Source organism: Homo sapiens, chromosome 10 (assembly GCF_000001405.40).
Source record: "Homo sapiens chromosome 10, GRCh38.p14 Primary Assembly".
Lineage (NCBI taxonomy): Eukaryota > Metazoa > Chordata > Mammalia > Primates > Hominidae > Homo > Homo sapiens.
The window spans coordinates 35,568,332-35,586,505 of NC_000010.11; the positions used below are offsets into that span (position 1 = coordinate 35,568,332).

General features: G+C 45.9%; 1 protein-coding gene and 1 long non-coding RNA gene across 6 annotated transcripts in view; both read left to right on the forward strand.

Moving 5' to 3' along the window:
- The window catches only part of CCNY (cyclin Y), a 325,643-nt gene extending 321,307 nt beyond the window's left edge, over positions 1-4,336 (forward strand). For all 5 annotated transcript variants that reach the window (NM_181698.4, NM_001282853.2, NM_145012.6 and 2 more), the window contains one exon: positions 723-4,336. In NM_181698.4, coding sequence (NP_859049.2) covers positions 723-839 — 117 coding nt within the window. In that variant the 3' untranslated portion in view covers positions 840-4,336. The remainder of the gene's footprint in view (positions 1-722) is intronic.
- An 8,779-nt stretch (positions 4,337-13,115) lies between these two features.
- Positions 13,116-18,015, forward strand: LOC107984221 (uncharacterized). Its single transcript, XR_001747422.2, has 3 exons — positions 13,116-13,521; positions 15,251-15,371; positions 15,704-18,015. It is a non-coding gene; the product is annotated as an uncharacterized LOC107984221 (long non-coding RNA).
- Positions 18,016-18,174: the final 159 nt, after the last annotated feature.

Sequence of the window (18,174 nt, forward strand, 5' to 3'; positions counted from 1 at the left end):
TGCTCTTTCTCTTCTCCAAATAATCAAAGCCTGGGACAGTGGGCTCAGCTTTTACCATCAGCCAGTTCTAGCCACACCCAGTGGCAGCCCTGGGAGAGTTGTTGCCAGAGTAGCATGGTCCCCCGTCCTTATCACCAAAGTGTTGATTATCTGCACATCTCATATTTTTGTGATCCCCCTGGGTCCCTCTTTCGGCAACCCTCTAGAGGTGACTTAAGTCCTCCATCCTTTTCTGTGGAGTCCCTAGCTGGTGGTCTGGCTGCAGCTGTCTTTGCCGCCAGCGGCCGAGCTCTCCTCTCTGTGAGGCTCAGCTCCAAGCCCGTGCTTCATGCCAGCCCTGCCAGGATGGTGCTGTTCTTGCCCCGCTTGCAGGTGAGGACGCCAAGGATTCAAAACAGCACGCGTGTGGGTGGGGCCCGTCCCACACCCCTAGATGGGGAGCCAGCGTTGACCCTGGTCGGGCCGACTGTGAGGTGACACTGTACTGTTATTTCACATCCTGAGAGTCTTTTCTCAGACTGTAAGCTCTTGGGAAACAAGAGCTGAGTCCACACTCCCTTCGTATCTCCCTGCTGCCAGCAGAGAGCTGGGCTCTGGGCCGGAGCTCCACAGGGGCAGGGGCTCTGCCTGTCCCTCATGCAGCGCCCTCGGCGCCCAGGACGAGTGAGCAATGGACGCAGATATGGCCCGCCCTGACCCACACTGTCTTTCTTGCCCCTCAGGCCATCTCTCGCCTCTGCGAGGACAAGTACAAGGACCTAAGAAGATCCGCGAGGAAGCGCTCAGCCAGTGCAGACAACCTGACTCTGCCCCGGTGGTCCCCAGCCATCATCTCTTAACTACGGAGGCCCGCCGGAGGCCACACCATCCCTTAGTTTCTCCTTTAGTTTGAGAAAAGACAGACTTGGGGTGGGTTTGTTTTTGTTTTTTCTTTCCTTTTCTTTTTTTACGCATAGCTCCGTCAAGCTGCCTGGATGAGCGCCCATGCAGCAAGGCTTGGAGGAAGCGTCAGTGCCCTGGAGATCCCAGCTCGCTCTCCCCACTGTCAGCAACAGCACTTCCTTCGTGGAGGAAGTGGACTCGAATCCTGGAGGAGGAAATAAAGGGAAAGGGAAGTCGTGGAGAGGCAGGGAAAATGGTTAAGCAGCCCGGCCCTCTGGAGTCCCCATGGGGGCGGTAGCTGAAGTTGGCGAGCGCAGCGGTGGATGCAGAGCTGGCTGCACCCAGGGCTGGGCCAGTGTGTCCTGTAAGACTTCTTGCATTCCTTCTGCTGCTTTTTTGGGATGGGGGTATTTTTGTTCATTTGTTTTTGCCCTGTTTTGATTTTGGTCCCACAGAGCAGGGGATGTAGTTTGTACCCACCATGGCGCAGACTTCCAAATAAATAGTACTGGTCATTTCTCTCTGCACTATTTCTGCGCGCTGTCTTCTGAGCTTTCTTCCTCACCAGTGGGCTGTGCTTGTTCCATTTCTGTACACCCTTATTTTATACCGTTTTTCTTCAACAATGGCGAAATTGACTGTAGTGCTGAACCAAAAGTATCCCTTTCCCTCCTTATTCCTCACCCCAAGAACATTCTAGATCACATGGGTGCTTGTGCCTTCCGATTTTCTTGCATTTGTTTTTTTCCTGACCTGAAGTTGTTGTTACAAAATCAGTCAGACTTTGTGGGCTGAAGGACACGGTGCAGCAGAGGGTGTCCCTGTGAGAGTTCTGCAGAGTGCTGGGCATGTGCCTGGAACTACCGAGTAGGAGCCATTTCTTTGTACCCCTGCCTAATCCATTCCTCTCCTTCCAAGTCCATTGTTGCAAGCAATATTCTTCTCAATTTTTATATGTTTACTTTAAATCAAAGTTAGTCTATTTGTATAAAATTTTTAAAAAATCTAAAAGAAAAAGAAAAAAAACAAGGGTGGGTTGGGTATTCCAGTGGGAAGATCATTGAAGGGAAAAATGTTACTATTTACTGAGGTATTTTTCACAGAATGATTGAATTAAAAAAAACTCAACTTGCATTTTCATTGTGGGTGCTTAGAGAAGTTCTACAAAATTCAAACTGTGAAGGTTTATGCTTCATTAATTATGACCATACTTTTTCATTTTCTGACGATCCCTGATTTCCTTATGGACTCAATAAGAATCTTTTATATCAAGTAAAATGAAAGTTGATGATAGAATATCAAATAGTGAATTTGATATGAAATCTAAGAGTGTGAGTCACTTGCATATGTAATGCTTTGGGTTTTTGCATATTTTCTTAGGTCACAGTGACAGGTTTCTGAGTTGTTTCCCTTTTCAAGTCTCTGGGAGGCCAGTGGCAGCAGCAGGTCTGTGTTTCACCTTCTTCCCATGTGAGCTTGGAAAACTTTGGCATCTTAATTAGTCTTGAATCATACACCTGATCCCCAAACATTGCCTGCTCTCAATGAAACATGCTTTGGAAATGGAAGGGACTCAGAAAGTCGAAATCCCAAGAACTCCAAGCCAAAAGTGTTAGGTTTTAGTGAAATTTGTGTCAGGTATAAGCATACCTGTTTGGGCCAGAATTATTATCACAGCCTTTCTGACCCAAACTTTCAAAAGCAAATAAACAGCATATAAAACGTTAATTATCTTTCCATTGTAATTGTGATGATCTACTCTGTATGGGTACCAAAATCACCTTCTCTCTTCAAGTCAAAGTTGAATTTAGAACTTTGAATACAGGTCAAAAAATGTAGAAAATATCATTTTATATTCCCTAATCTATATAGCTGAAAAAGGGTTGTATTTTCTTAGCTGAATATGAATACCTCTTAAACATAAATTAGTTCCTCTCCAGTGAAGTATCTTATTTTACCAATCCATTTCAGGAAAGAGGTTCTGCTGCCGTAAAGGCAGAAATTTTATTTTTATCCCTTTTATTTGAATGAGAGATTTGAAAATCGAATTATGTAAATATTTCAATGCATCTGCTATTATTTTGTGGAGTTTATTAAACTACTTTAAAAAAATTGTATAGTCTATTTATTGTATGTATGTACATACAGTCTGATACCTAAAATTTAAAGTGGATTCCATAAAACCAGACTCAAGTCTTGTTTAGACTACTGAATACTGTTTTAGCCTGTGCCCTGGATTCTACCTCTGTATAGGAAAATTTTCCATATTCATTAATTAGTGTTGATCTGTATTAATTGGTTATGTTTCTTGCACTAAGGATGTTTAAAACTCCGCTGTAAGTGTAGATTTTAGTTTTACTGGCAGGATGAATCACTTGACACATAGGTAGATACTTGAGGTTCATTTTCTTTTCTTTTTCTACATGATGATGAATAGTTATGTTTTCTTCTCTGATTTGTTCAAAGTTTGCCAAAAGAAAACACAAAACCAGTACAGTACTTACTGATAAATCGTAGTGACTGTAATTTGTTTGTAAGGCGAATTAATGCTCTACAATTAAAGCTGGATTACTATTGAGGAACACATTGTCTTAGTGTAGTTTTTGAATGGAAAGTTTTTGTCATTAAGGATGAAGGAAACGACACAATTTGTTACTTTAATTTTATATTTGATTTAAACAACAAATAAAGTCATTGGGACAATAAATATATATCCCGATGAATCTTTTTGATTTGTTTTACTTTTCTTATTTTTTTTTTTTTAACTAGAAAAAGGGAAAGAAGAAGTCAGGAGTTTAAAACCAAATTGGAGGGCAGATGAGAAATCCTGCCAAGATCGGGATGTGCCTTCATGCATGAGGTGAGGCCAGAGGTGTGGGCACCTGTACCTGCCTCCTCTTCTGGGCTGGCTTTCCTGTCTGCCTGCTCTCGGGCTTGGGCAGAGCCATCTCCATCCTGGGGTTTCCTTTAAGCTAAGCTGAAAGCAAAATTTGGGGAGTGAATGATTTAAACTTTTCCTGCTGCTTTTGGTAACTTCTCACCTGGGGCCATATTTTACAGATTTGAATTTTTTTTTTTCTTTTTTTGAGATGGAGTCTCGCTCTTGTCACCCAGGCTGGTGTGCAATGGTGCGATCTGGGCTCACTGCAACCCCCACTTCCCGGATTCAAGCAATTCTGCCTCAGCCTCCCGAGTAGCTAGGATCACAGGCACCCACCACCATGCCCAGCTGATTTTTGTAGTTTTAGTAGAGACAGAGTTTCACCACGTTGGCCAGGCTGGTCTCAAACTCCTGACCTCAAGTGATCCACCCCCCTCAGCCTCCCAAAGTGCTGAGATTACAGGCGTGAGCCACTGCCCCTGGCCCAGATTTGAAATTTTTTAAAAATAAAACATGATTCTTGGTTATTGTAGGTATTTAATAAATGTTAAATAAATATATACATAGAACAAAGTAGTGCCTGCCTTCCTGCTGTGTTTTTTGAGTTAGTATATTGAGATAAAATTCAACAGGTTTTATGGATGCTGAGTGAACCAGTTCTTTGCAAGAGCAGTGGTAGAAAGTGGTATTGGCCCTGTGTTCTTGAGCGACTCACAAAAGTATGAGAGCTACTCCAGCAATTGAGAAGTTGCACAATAGAGACCTAATAGAACATGTCACTTTCATATTGATACCCCATTTTGTCTGAAACCACTTTATCTCCCTTGATGTCATTGGAGTCAGCATCTTGGGTGGGTCTTAAAGACATTATCTTCTGAAAAGTCAGCCATGATGAGGTCCTACCCTTGTTGAAAAAGAGAAGGAAACAAGAAACATGCTCTTGCACTGAGACAGGAACAGGATACTTAACTTGGGTTTTATATATATATTTATTTTTAAATATATATATATTTTTAAACAGAGTCTCACTTTGTCACTCTGCCTGGTGTGCAGTGGCACAATCATAGCTCACTGTAGCCTCCAACTCCTGGGCTCAAGTGATCCTCCCGCCTCAGCCTCCCTGGGACGATGGGCCTGTGCCACCATGCCCACCTAATTTACTTGTTTTTTTTTTTTTGAGATGGAGTCTCACTCTGTCGCCCAGGCTGGAAGTGCGGTGGTGCAATCTCAGCTCACTGCAACCTCTGCCTCACAGGTTCAACTGATTCTCCTGTCTCAGCCTCCCAAGTATCTGGAACTGCAGGCACACACCACCACACCTGACTAATTTTTGTATTTTTCATAGAGATGGGGTTTCACCATGTTTGCCGGGCTGGCCTCAAACTCCTGACCTCAAGTGATCCGCCGGCCTCAGCCTCCCAAAGTGCTGGGATTACAGGCGTGAGCCACTGCTCCTGGCCAGGCTAATTTTTAAATTTTCTATAGAAATGGGGTCTTGCTGTGTTGCCCATGCCGGTCTTCAACTCCCAGCTTCAAGTGCTCCTCCTGCCTCACCCTCCCAGGGTGTTATGTCTTTAGCTGCATGGATTTCAAGCCAAGGCCTGCAAACAGCTTGGTTAAGGTGCTGACTTGCTGTTATTGAATGCAGCGCCCTGCTAGAGCTGTTGCACCCAAACAGGGCTGGGGAGATGCCCAGGAGTGCTTGCAGTCACAGTGGTGGGGCTGGAGTTCGTACCTCCAAGTCAGCAGGCTCCCTGCCTGTTTTCCTGTTAGATTTTCTTACTAAGTTTGCATATGTGAAGGGGCTAAAGGTCCTGTCTGTCACTCTTCTCAGCAGTGATCAACCTCAAAATGAGCTTCTTAATCTGGCAGCTGCTGTCTCTGTGCACTGTGGCAGGTCTGAGCTGGGCACAGCAGCTGGGTGAGGACTTGGCCTGGCAACTGTATCTGTCCTTCATAGGTTTTTGTGAAAAGAGTTCTGCAGAACCTGTTACAGTAAGAAGTGAACTCAAACATGATGTCTGACTTAATGATGTTCAGATTCTACAGGTCTCAATAAACTTTCCAGTGTCCTTTAAGGGACTTGGTTTCAGTGGGGGGCTTTCCTTTTAAGAATTTTTGTTCATATAAATAAGTTATTTCAAATAAGGGATAAAAGAATGGCATTACAAAATATAGTTTGGGATAGAAATATTAAATGTAGCGAGAATTTATGCATAAGATGTTAACATCGGTATTGATTTTTTTGTCATGGAACCTTGGGTTTTAGTCTCAGTCCAAAAGATTAACTTGCTCTGTGACCTTGGACAAATTATTTGACCTCTCTGGACCTCTCAGTGACCTTGGCTGTGAGGGAGACTCTTGTTTTCATCACCTGTCTTAGTCTGTTTCTGAGCACACTCTGCTCAGCCATTCAGCCACAATTGTTGGACGCTCCTCTAAATGTAGCAAGGGTGGACATAGTAAAAGCCAAGTGCAAGCCTAACGGTGACAGAAAACCCAGGACGAGGGGAAGTCGGTTGTGTTCTCCAGGTCCTCTCCTAAAGAAGGGTGGCCATGGGTAGAAGCAGCAGGTCTTACAGGACCTGGGTACCCAGTTTTCCGCTGCTGTCCCTTCTTCCCCAGCTCTCCCAAGTACAGCTGAATGCTCAGCGTGGCCTCTAGTTGGCCATTCCTGGACCTGGTTTGTGAGTTCTTGTCTGCATTGGTGGATCCTGGAAATCTCGAAACAGTGGAAGTGGGTGTGTGAATCCACTGCCAAGTGCCTCTGTCCTGAAGAGGATGCTGCTTCATTTCTGTGAGCTCCAGCAATGCTTCCTTAGACCTGCTGACCAAAGCTCAGGAAGCCAACCTCGGAAGAGAAGGATTTTGCACCTCCTCCCGTGCAGACACCAGCACTAGGGGGCAGCGCGTGGTAATGATGACTCTGCAGGGGCAGGACCCCCCAGGACCAGGCCTTGGTGCAATGCAGCAGGCATGTGGTCTGGCAGGTCCCATGGCTGTGATCAATTCTGAGTCACTTCATCTTTAAAACAGAGAAATGTGTGACTTCCAGAGCCTTTCCGTCCCTAATATCCCGTTATGGTTATGCTGGGTTTTGCAGGAGCAACCTCGAGACTAATAAGAGGTTTAGTCACCCCTGCAATCTTTGAAAAACAACAAATACAGGATGTGGAAAAACCGAGAGTGAGGCACCCAGAGCCCAGAATGCTGGGTAGCTCCTTCCCTAGCTTGTGCAGCATCCTGTGCTGAGCCACGGCCCCTTACGTGTAAGCAAAACTCGAAACAAAATTCCTGTTCTAGAATATTATCTAGAAAATGTGTACTTGTTTTATACTGACGTAATTCCTTCAACAAATATTGAGCTGGACACTGTCTAATTCATGTTGGGGATGGATATGGCTTTCTTGGGGGATGTTCTAGTGGAGCAGATGGTCAAATAAGTTAGCGTGTAAAAAGGATCTTGGTAAGTGTCAGGAGGGAAATTGAGTGGTTATGATAGTAACTAGGAGGTGGCAGCTTGATGGACATGACCTTTTGAGTGGACGTCTCCGTGGAAGAGATGGGGAGAAGGGAAGATGGATGGAGATGTGGTTGGAGAAGAGCTGATCAGCCCAGGCCTCACAGGCATTGCTGAGGAACACAGATTTGAAGACCAATGGGAAACTGCCACAGAATTTAGTTAGTTCTGGTGCTCAAGGAGTGGGTGTGACAGGCAGCACGGTTCCCGCCTGGACGGCCACAAGGTGGAGAGAAGGGCCACATGTACTTCAGAGGTTACACATAGGAAAAGAAAGACCAGTTCTCGCCACACTTCTGGGGTGAACCATCGGTAAGTTGTAACAGATAATGTGTTCCTGAGGTTAGTCCAAATCCTGAGTACCGGTAATCTACCATGCATCATACACAATGAGACTGTGTCAAGATGAAAAACCCGGACCCCTGCTCTCAAAAGCTGTGTTTGGGCTGGATCAATGAAAACAGACACATTTTCATCCTAAACACATCTTCATCCTAGCATGGGCATGAGGTGGAATCTCTGAACCTGTCTTTGGTAATAAAAATGTAGACAGAGCGGTTCTTGAACATCATTTCTTCCTGCAGGCACTTGTGGGTTATATAGTCATTTATCTTGTGTTCAGTATTTTTTTAGTACCTTGAAGCTAATGTGATTGCTACCAAGAAAATCTAGGAGAAACAACTGGAAAATTATAAGAATTCAGTAAGATTATAGTTACAAGATTAGTACACAAAAATTGAGTTTTCTAATTTACCAGCAGCAATCAATTAGAGAATATAATGGAGATGCCATTCAAAAATAGCAACAAAGTGTTGCTATTTTGCTGCACATGCCTGTAGTCTCAGCTACTCAGGAGGCTGAGGCAGGAGGATCACTTTGAGCCCAGGAGTTTGGGACTGCAAAGAGCTGTGATGGCATCACTGCACTCTAGCCTGGGTGACAGAGCAAGACCTTGTCTCTTAAGAAAAAAACCCAAACCACAAAATAGGAGCAAATTATGTCAAAGAACAAAAACATTTATTAAATGCTTACAGTGTGTCCTGCACAGTTTAAGCACTCAACATTTGTTAATTCATTTAATCCCCATAACAATTGCATGAGGTAGCTACTATTATTCCGGATGAAGGTGCTTATTAGGCTTGGAGAGGTGAAAACCCTGGTCAGTAAGTGGTAGAGCCAGAAAGCCTGATACCAGAGTTTTTTTTAGAGGCAGGATCTCACTGTGTTGCCCAGGCTGGTCTTGAACTGGACTCAAGTGATCCTCCTGCCCTGGCCTCCCGGAAGGCTGGGATTACAGGCATGAGCCACTGCACTTGGCCCAATCCAGAGCTTATTTCTCATCACTATGCTACATGGTCTTTCACTGCCACTGATTAGGGAGAAACCCATCTAGAAACATGCTATGCTGGATTGAGTAGTGCCCTCTAAAAATTCATTTCCACCTGAAATGTACAGATATGACCTTATTTGGAAATAAGGTCTTTGCAGATGTAATTAGTTAAGACGAGGTCATATTGGACTAGGGTGGGCCTAAATCCCTGTAAGGAGAGGGGAGTCGGCAGACACAGGGACAACACGCTGTGGAGGTGAAGGCAAAGGTTGGAATGATGCAGCCGCAAGCCAAGGAACGCCAAGGTTGGCCAGGGCCAGCAGAAGCTGGAAGAGGCAAGGAAGAATCCTTCTCTGGAGTTTCCAGAGCATATGGCCCTGCTGGCACCTTGATTTTGGACTTCCAGCCCCCAAAACAGTGACAGAATAAATTTCTGTTGTTGTGAGCCATCCAGCATGTGGAAATTTGTTATGGCAGCCCTAGGAAACCGACACAGGTGCAATTCCTAAATAGAGAAAATGCCGGCCGGGCGCAGTGGCTCACACCTGTAATCCCAGCACTTTGGGAGGCCAAGGTGGGCAGATCACTTGAGGTCAGGAGTTCGAGGCCAGCCCGACCAACATGGTGAAACCCCATCTCTATTAAAAATACAAAAAGTTAGCTGAGCATGGTGGTGCACACCTGTAATCCCAGCTACTTGGGAGGCTGAGGCAGGTGAATTACTTGGACCCAGGAGGCAGAGGTTGCAGTGAGCCAATATCACACCACTGTACTCCAGCCTGGCCACAGAGCAAGACTCCATCTCAAAAAGAAAATGCCAAACTTTGCCGGCAGTCATCACGAAAGACCTGAACGAAAGAGACGTGCCATGTTCCTGAGTGGGAAATCACAGGACCTGACAAATGTCACATCTCTCGTTCCTACTCTCCCTTTTGTCTAGTGTGTTCTCTAAGTATACCAAGTTCTGTTTCGATTCAGGAACTTTTTCTGCATTGTTGTTTCTGTCTGGCGTGCTTCCCCCTGATACCTGCATTGCTCACTCTTCTCACTATCTGCTGTTTTTCTTGTTCACTTGATTATTGTCTGGTGTGGCATTTTTCCGGAAACAAAGCACTGATCTCATATTTGGAGGACTTCCAATTGTGAAAGCTTTCTTCTGCAACTCCCTGTTGTAGGTAGAACAGATGTTCTATCCCCATCGCTTTTCAGTAGAGCTGAGGGCAGTGTTAGAGAAAGAGCAGTCTCAGCAGAGATGCGTATCCAAATATGGGAGACTCTGGCCGTCAACTAAGGAAGTTTGAACAGTGTCATTCAGTCTACAAATATGTGCCTTAAACGTAACATTTTTCCAGAAACACAGTACTGATCTCATATTTTGAGGTACTTCCAATTTTCAAAGCTTTCTTCTTCATCTCCTCTGTGACTCCCTGATGTAGGTAGAACAGACGTCTGCTTCAATGCCATGTCCTTACAGGCCTCCTCTCACCACAGCCCACCCCCCAGGGAAGGGCCCTCCTTGTTGCTCTTGTGTTGCCCAACCATAAGCCTTGCCTGGCTCTCCCCACTGTCTGCTGTTTTTCTTGTTCACTTGATTATTGTCTGGTGTGGCATTTTCCCAGAAACAAAGCACTGATCTCATATTTGGAGGTACTTCCAATTTTCAAAGCTTTCTCCTGCAACTCCCTGATGTAGGTAGAACAGCTGTTCTGTCCCCATCGCTTTTCAGTAGAGCTGAAGTGCAGAAAGGCTAAGTGACTTGTCAAGGTCGCGTCATCAGCAACCAAACAGATCTTGCAGTTAATCTACAGCTACCCCTACAACCACAGAGCGTGGCAAGCCCTCCTGCCCCTAGAATGCTGACTCAGGAGGCAGGAGCCTTGTATGACCCATTCCCTGCTGAACCCCAGGACCCAATACATGCCAGCCCTGTCCAGTGAGTGAGTGGATGGGGTGAGGCACAGGTCCAGAAGATCAGGACAGGGATCAAGCCATAGTCACATCTTGAGCAAAAGGAGGAAAGCTGGAGGTATAGAAATGTAGATAAAGTGGTTCTTGAACATCATTTCTTCCTGCAGGCACTCATGGGTTCTACAGTCATTTATCTCGTGTTCAGTAACCTTGAAGCTAATGTGGTTGCTACCAAGAAAACCTAAAAGAAACACCTGGAAAACTATCAGAATTCATCACACCTGTGAGAATGGTATGGAGAAAAGGGAGCCCCTTTGCACTGCTGTTGCAAAGGCGAATTATTACAGCCATTCTAGAAGACAATATGGAGGCTCCTAAAAAGACTAAAAATAGAATTGCCATATGATCCGGCAATCCCACTTCTGGCTATATATCCAGAGGAATCGAAATCAGTGTGCTGGAGAGACAGCTGCACTCCCATTAAAACACTGTTCACAATAGCCCAGACAGGGAGGCAACCTAGGTGTCCATCACTATGTGAAATAAGCCAGGCACAGAAACAAATATCCAATCATTTCACTTACATGTAGAATCTAAAAAAAGCTGAACTCAGAAGTAGAGTAGAGTGGTGATTATCAGAGGATAGGAAAGGAGGAGGATGAACAAAGGGGAGTGCTGCACCAATGGGTACAAAGTTTCACTTAGGAGGAGTAAGATCTAGTGATCTATTGAACGAACAGCTACCATCATAAATGCATTGTGTATTCCAAAGTTGTAGATTTCAGTTGTTTTCACCACACACAAAAATAAGTACGTGAAGTGATGGATTTGCTCAGTAGCTTGATTTAATCATTCCACAATGTAGAACATGTATCAGAACATATTGTACCCCATAAATATATACAATTGTTTTTCAATTAAAAATAAAAAGTAGAGCTATGAGGCGGCTTCAGGAAAGAGGCAGAGCTTGAACTGGTTGTGTTGTAGAATCTGGATATGTAGAAAGGAAAGGAATTCCAGCAGGAAGCACATGAACCAAGAGTCCGGAGCCCACCCACTCAGCATTGCCGAGGACAGTGTTAGGGAAAGAGCAGTCTTAGTAGAGATGCGTGTCACAAATACAGGAGACTCTGGCCGTCAACTAAGGAAGTGTGTACAGTGTCATTCGGTCTACAAATATGTACTTTAAATGTAACATTTTTCCAGAAACATAGTATTGATCTCATATTTTGAGGCACTTCCAATTTTCAAAGCTTTCTTCTTCATCTCCTCTGCGACTCCCTGATGTAGGTAGAACAGATGTTCTATCCCCATCGCTTTTCAGATAGAGCCGAAGTGCAGAAAGGCTAGGTGACTTGGCAAAGGTCACGTCATCAGCAACCAAACAGGACTTGCAGTTAATCTACAGCTGCCCCTAAACAGAGCGTGGCAGGCCACACCTGTCACATCAATCTCCATGCACGTCTTTGGAGAAGAGACAGCTGCAACATTTTAGCTTTAAAAAGTACTTAGCAAATAATGCACCTACAAGCAAGAATGGTGTCTGGGGATCCTGTTATTTTTATTGTTGCTGGATATAGAACCCACACAGATGGTAAGTCTGGCTTATTAATGGCATTTTGCAGAAATCTATGTGTTACTATTTCAGAATTGCTGCCTGGCCCCCAGGTGACATCCCCTTCCCGCCAGGTCTCAGTTTAAGAGCTTCAGAGAATCTGGAAACTCAGGGATTTCATGCATGGTCACCACCTGTCCCCTCTCTGAGGCCGTGGCCCCTACTTTAGCAGGTTCTGCTGGACTAGAGTTTTATTTTTCTGAGCTTGCAATTTCTCATTTTGAGGTTTGAGGTGCTTTTTCCATCTCAAAACCTGCCCAGCCCGTGACTTTCATTGAATGTCTCAGTATGGATTTCCTCATTGCTCATGTCTTATCTCAAAAGTTGTGTCTTCATTGGCCTTTTCTGGGTAGCTCATCTAAAGTAGCACCAGTCCCTCTGTCTCACCCCATAATGGCTCACCGTCAGCCCTCCTGATTCAATTTCTTTGGCAGCATGTCATTTTCTGGTGGTACCCTGCTTATTCCTTACAATCTAAGTTGTGTGCCTCCCATCAAAGGCAGAGCCTACCCTTCCCCATTTGGAACAGAATGCCGACTTCCTTGCTTGCTAAGCAGGAGACAGTCTCTGAGCAAAGGGAAGAGCTGATCTCACACAGGGCCTTGGAAAGCATGAAGTTCAGGGATTTCAGTGCCCAGAGCATTTAGGGATTGGTTGGCATTTGCCTGCGTCAGTGTGGTTACTTAAGACTTGCGGATTGCCTGCCCTTGGCTGCTGATGTGAAATCCTCGTTGATCAAGGAGAATGGGTTTTAAACTGGTTCTGATGGTCACTTGTTTCTATGGCCAAATAACCAGCCAACATGGTGAAACCCCGTCTCTCCTAAAAATACAAAAATTAGCTGGGTGTGGTGGCGGGCACCTGTAATCCCAGCTACTTGGGGGGCTGAGGCAGGAGAATGGCTTGAACCAGGGAGGCGGAGGTTGCAGTGAGCTGAGATTGAGCCATTGCACTCCAGCCTGGGAGACAGAGCAAGACTCCATCTCAATACAAACAAACAAACAAAAAAACTAATGGAGGAGTGGCCCCAGCTTCTCCTGTGGTGGATGGGGCTGTGAAACGTTAACTTGGAAGGACTGCTGAAAGATGGATGTTACTCTGTTAATGGAGAGGGCAGAACTAGAGCCAGGAATCAGTAAAAGTTTCTGAGACATGGATTTCTGCTCAGTATAAGGAAGACCCTTTAAGAGTTACAGTCGTGCAGAGGTAGAAATGGCCAGGGGCCACCTTCTCATGGTGTTAACCAGTCGTTATCGTTGTCCACTTCCAGCAGCACAGGCCTGTCATACAATGAGCTCCTCCGTGGAACCCCAGTATACACAGGTCAGAGGCATGCAGATCTGTGTCAGTGGAAGAAACTGTGGAGAGCCAGTTCCAGCCACATGGTAACCCCTGACACACCCTGACCAGACTTTACGATTCTAAGAAACAAATGCAAGAACCACTCATTACATTATTTAAAAATTCCTGCCGTTATTCTGTGCAGTGGGCATCTGCATTTCCCACTTTTCAGCTGAAAGGACTTAGGGGAAGAGAAAGTAACTTGAGGGTGGCAGAGCCAGGATTAGAACCCATGCTGGTCTGATTCTGAAGTCACACTCACAATCACACTACCCTATTACCTCCCAGTGGAGTGAAATGAGATGGTCCATTGTTAAAAAGAGGTCTGGGGGGCCGGGCATGGTGGTTCATGCTTGTAATCCCAGCACTTTGGGAGGCCAAGGTGGGCGGATCACAAGGTCAGGAGATTGAGACCATCCTGGCTAACACAGTGAAACCCTGTGTCTACTAAAAATACAAAAAATTAGCCGGGCATGGTGGTGGGTGCCTGTAGTCCCAGCTACTCGGGAAGCTGAGGCGGGAGAATGGTGTGAACCCGGGAGGCGGAGCTTGCAGTGAGCCAAGATCATGCCACTGCACTCCAGCCTGGGCGACACAGCAAGACTCTGTCTCAAAAAAAAAAAAAAAAAAAAAAAAAAAAAATCTTTGGGAGAAAGAACAAACTCCATGTGATTTCTTAGATTTTCAGATTCTATCTATTAATTTTGCTTCCCTAGAAATCTTAGTGACTTATTTATTGATGACAGAGATGAATCAAGAAAATATTGCTTTAGAGACAGGTGGATCACCTGAAGTCAGGAGTTCGAGACCAGCCTGGTCAACATGGTGAAACCCCATCTCTACTAAAAATACAAAAATTAGTGGGGTGCGGTGGTGGGCACCTGTAAGCCCAGCTACCAGGGAGGCTGAAGCAGGAGAATGGCTTGAACCTGGGAGGTGGAGGTTGCAGTGGGCTGAGATCACGCCACTACACTCTAGCCTGGGTGACAGAGTGAGACTGAAAAAAAAAAAAAAGAAAGAATATACTGCTTTAAAAAAATCTTGTGAGTGCAAATTCCTTGCTTGAAAGGAATGAAGGACATATAAAAGGATTTTTCCACTAGTCACTGGACTATTTATTAGAGAACCTAGTACTAAATACCCATTAAAATATTTTCCTATCCATTGCCCCATTAGGTGTCTGGTTTGTTAATCCACAGTGCCTTCTTCATCCTTGACTTCATGCTCCAATAAATGGGACTTTGAAAGGCCCACCAGTTGGTAGTGGACAAGGCATTTTGCACATAAAATTGTACATTTGTGGGTGCTTGAGGTTTTTTTGTTGACATCTTTTTCTTTTGAGACAGGGTCTCTCTCTGTCACCCAGGCTGGAATGCAGGGCTTACTGCAGCCTTGACTTCCCAGGCTTGAGCGATCCTCCCTCCTCAGCCCCGCCCCGCAAGTAGCTGGGACTACAGGCATGTGCCACCACGACTGGCTAATTTGTTTGAATATTAGTAGAGACAGGATCTTGCTATGCTGGAGGCTGGTCTCCAATTCCTGAGTTCAAGCAATCCTCCCATCTTGGCCTCCCAAAGTGCTAGGATTACAGACATGAGCCACCGTGCTTAGCTGGTGCTTGAGGTTTTTAGGTCCAATTACAACATTTCATCTTTTTACTCACTAGTCAGCAGCAGAGATTGCTCACAAGAGAGTATACTGAAGTTCTGTATTTTATTAGATTGCTCACAAGAGAGTATACTGAAGTTCTGTATTTTATTATCTCCACTACAGGACCTTTACTTTTGCAAATTGCTTGACGTATTCCTCCCTGAAACTTTTGTAACGCTATAATTGTGTCACAAATATAAGCTCCAAGGACTCTGCTACAATAAAAACATTTAATGTGAACAAGGTAAGACAGGCTCTAAATCTTCCCCATGCCATTTTCATTTCCCCGGGCCTGTTTTTTTTACTTCACAGAGAATACAAATTTGGCCCACAGGAAAAATACATCCATGGGACCCAATCAGCCTAATTCAGTGCAACACCAACCTCATTCTGCTACTTTCCCTGATCAGGGATGGCCTTTATGCAGCTTCCCCTGAATGTCAATGATCAATCTCTTTGAACCAAATCCTGGGGAAATTTGAACGTCTCTAGCTGTTGAAATATCTTTGATTTTGTGAATAATATTTTCATATACTTATGCATCTTGTTCTCTGTGTAATCTGTTATAAAAATTAGAAGAGTCTCGGTATTCAATGACATGAAGACGTCTTTCCCAATCACATTCTGCCTGTACATGAAACTTGTCAGAGTAAACAAGTTGAGTTGACGGACAACCGGGTGCCCCTACGGAAACGTACTGGCAATCAGGCCTGTGAGCAGGAAAATGTCCTGAAATAACCGGAGCAACTGGGCACAGCGCACAACTTCCCAGCATTGCAGTTTATTGTTTTAGAGCCCGAGCCCCAGGCGGGATGCTCAGGACCTGCATTCCTTGGCGATTGGGGGAGATGGTAGAATGTTACAGATGAGGGTGCTTTACATGAGCTCACTCATTTGTGAGAGTCAACTCACTGTGGATTCAGGAGGTCTGAATGATTCCAGCCCTCTGGCTTTTCTTGGAGGAAGCCAACCCAGGCAAACCAATTGCCACCCACGGAGGATGGCTCTTCACCAAAACCCAGGAGGGCCCAGGCCCGAAGACTAGATTGCTCCAGCTTCCTATGGCAGAAAGAGGATGATAAAAATAGTTGATGTAGCAACCTGTCGTGCTGCCCAAGGTGCGTAACCTCATGCTTGTTTGGAAAGACTTGAACAGGTAGCTGAGGGTGCAAACAGGGCAGCTGCATTTGGAGAGAAGAGGATGAAAGAGGAATGAAGGGAGGCGGTGGGACCGGAAAATCAAAGGTGTGGAAAAGATGTGTTATGGTGGGTTAGGTTAATGGACATCTCCACTTCAACAAGACCTTCCACAAAAAAGCTGACACCTCGTGAGAAATCAAGGTCCCACTGCATCTGCAAGAAGGGAAGTTGCGTTTGGTGAGAGCCTGTGATACAAGTGATAAAGATGGAAGCTTACCTTTGAAGAACCACGAAATGCCTCCAATGGACAGGTCATTAAACAGCAGTTCATCTACTCGAGTATTTCCAGGGCTTTGTCTCTAGCTCAGGCTGTCCTCACATCCGTCTGTCAGACACCTCTACTTGACGGAGGCCACCCTTCCTCCCACTCCCTGGCCCTGTGTCCCACACCTGTCCCTTCTTAATGAGGGACCCCATCTGCCTGGGTGCCTGGGCCAGGAGGCTCCCTCCCCTTGGGTTGTCTCCACCCTCACTCATGCCCATCGCTCTGGACTTGGCCTCCTCAGAACCCCCGGGTTCCATCCCTGGCAGCCTGAGGGGCACTCACCTCCACCGCTGCCGCCTTCTGGGTCCTTCTCTTCACAACAGGTGATGCCATCTTCCTCAAATGCAGATCCGACTGTGTCACCTCCAATGGAGACCTTCAGTGACTTTCCATTGTCGATCGGGTAGAACCCACACTGTCCCAGGACCAAACAGGGCCCTGCTTCCACCCTCACCTTGTTCCCGCCCAGGCTTTGTTTGTCCTGCATTGCACACAGTGCCCGGTACCCCGCAGGTTCACTCCCAGCTTTAGGGCATTGCATGTGCTGCTTCCTGCCCATCACAGCCTGGCGACCCTCGCATCCCTTCGGAGCCTGCCACGCCTCTCCTTCAGAAACAGCCCTAACCCGGATACTGCACCCTGCTGCGCTGCTGACCTGCAGGTACCTTCCTGCATCCCATTCCACATGGAGACCCCCTGGGCAGAGGCTTGGCCCCGTAGTATCCCTAGTGCCAAGCACCATGCCCACATGTGCCACTCACTGAATTAAAACTAGCAACTTAATAAAGTTTGAACACTCAAACATATCACACACACTGGTCGCAGACATGCTGTGAAGGCATGTCACCTCAGAAAGGTTGCATTTTGACTCTTCCACCAAGAGTAAATGGCTGCAAGAGATTGGAAGTGGCTGAGCAGAAGGTGGTCTGCAGGAACTTCCCAGCGCCCACCCCTGCCCCATGGGAACACAGGTGGGTCTTTGGTGGTGGAAAACATACTCTGTAAATAGCCAAGTGAGTGCTATTATGAAGTCAGGGGAGACACTGTATGGAGAAAAGCTACAGAAGTGGAAATACATTAGCCAACCCGACTTCAAGGGAAATGACTGTCCCATGAAACTGGGCTGGAAATGCTCCAAGGTAGGCTGAGCTGGGACCTGATGCTGCGTAAAGAGCCCAGAGGGAAGGGTGAGGTGTGGAGAACTCAGACCGAATGTGAAGGGTGTGAGCACCCCATAGAAGTTCTGCATTGGAGGAACACCCAAAGACTTAGGGAGTTGGCATCCAAGTAGCTTGGAGGTAAGCTGAAGTTATTTCTTCTTCCTTTGTGCAAAGTCCTTCAAAAATATCTTTGATCTAAGCTCTCAGGCACCACAGGAACACACAAGCATTTGTTCTCAGCCTGGGCGTGTTCGGTGGTGACAGCAAAGGCACCTGCCCTCTAGAACAGCCTGGAAACAGCTGGCAGAGAAGAGACAGCCTGCAGCTTACCCCAGCCTCCGTGTGTTCAGGCTCCCCGGTGGTGTGTGCTCACTCTCCCTCCTTCCCTCCCTCTTTCTCTCTCTCTGTCACACACGCCCCCA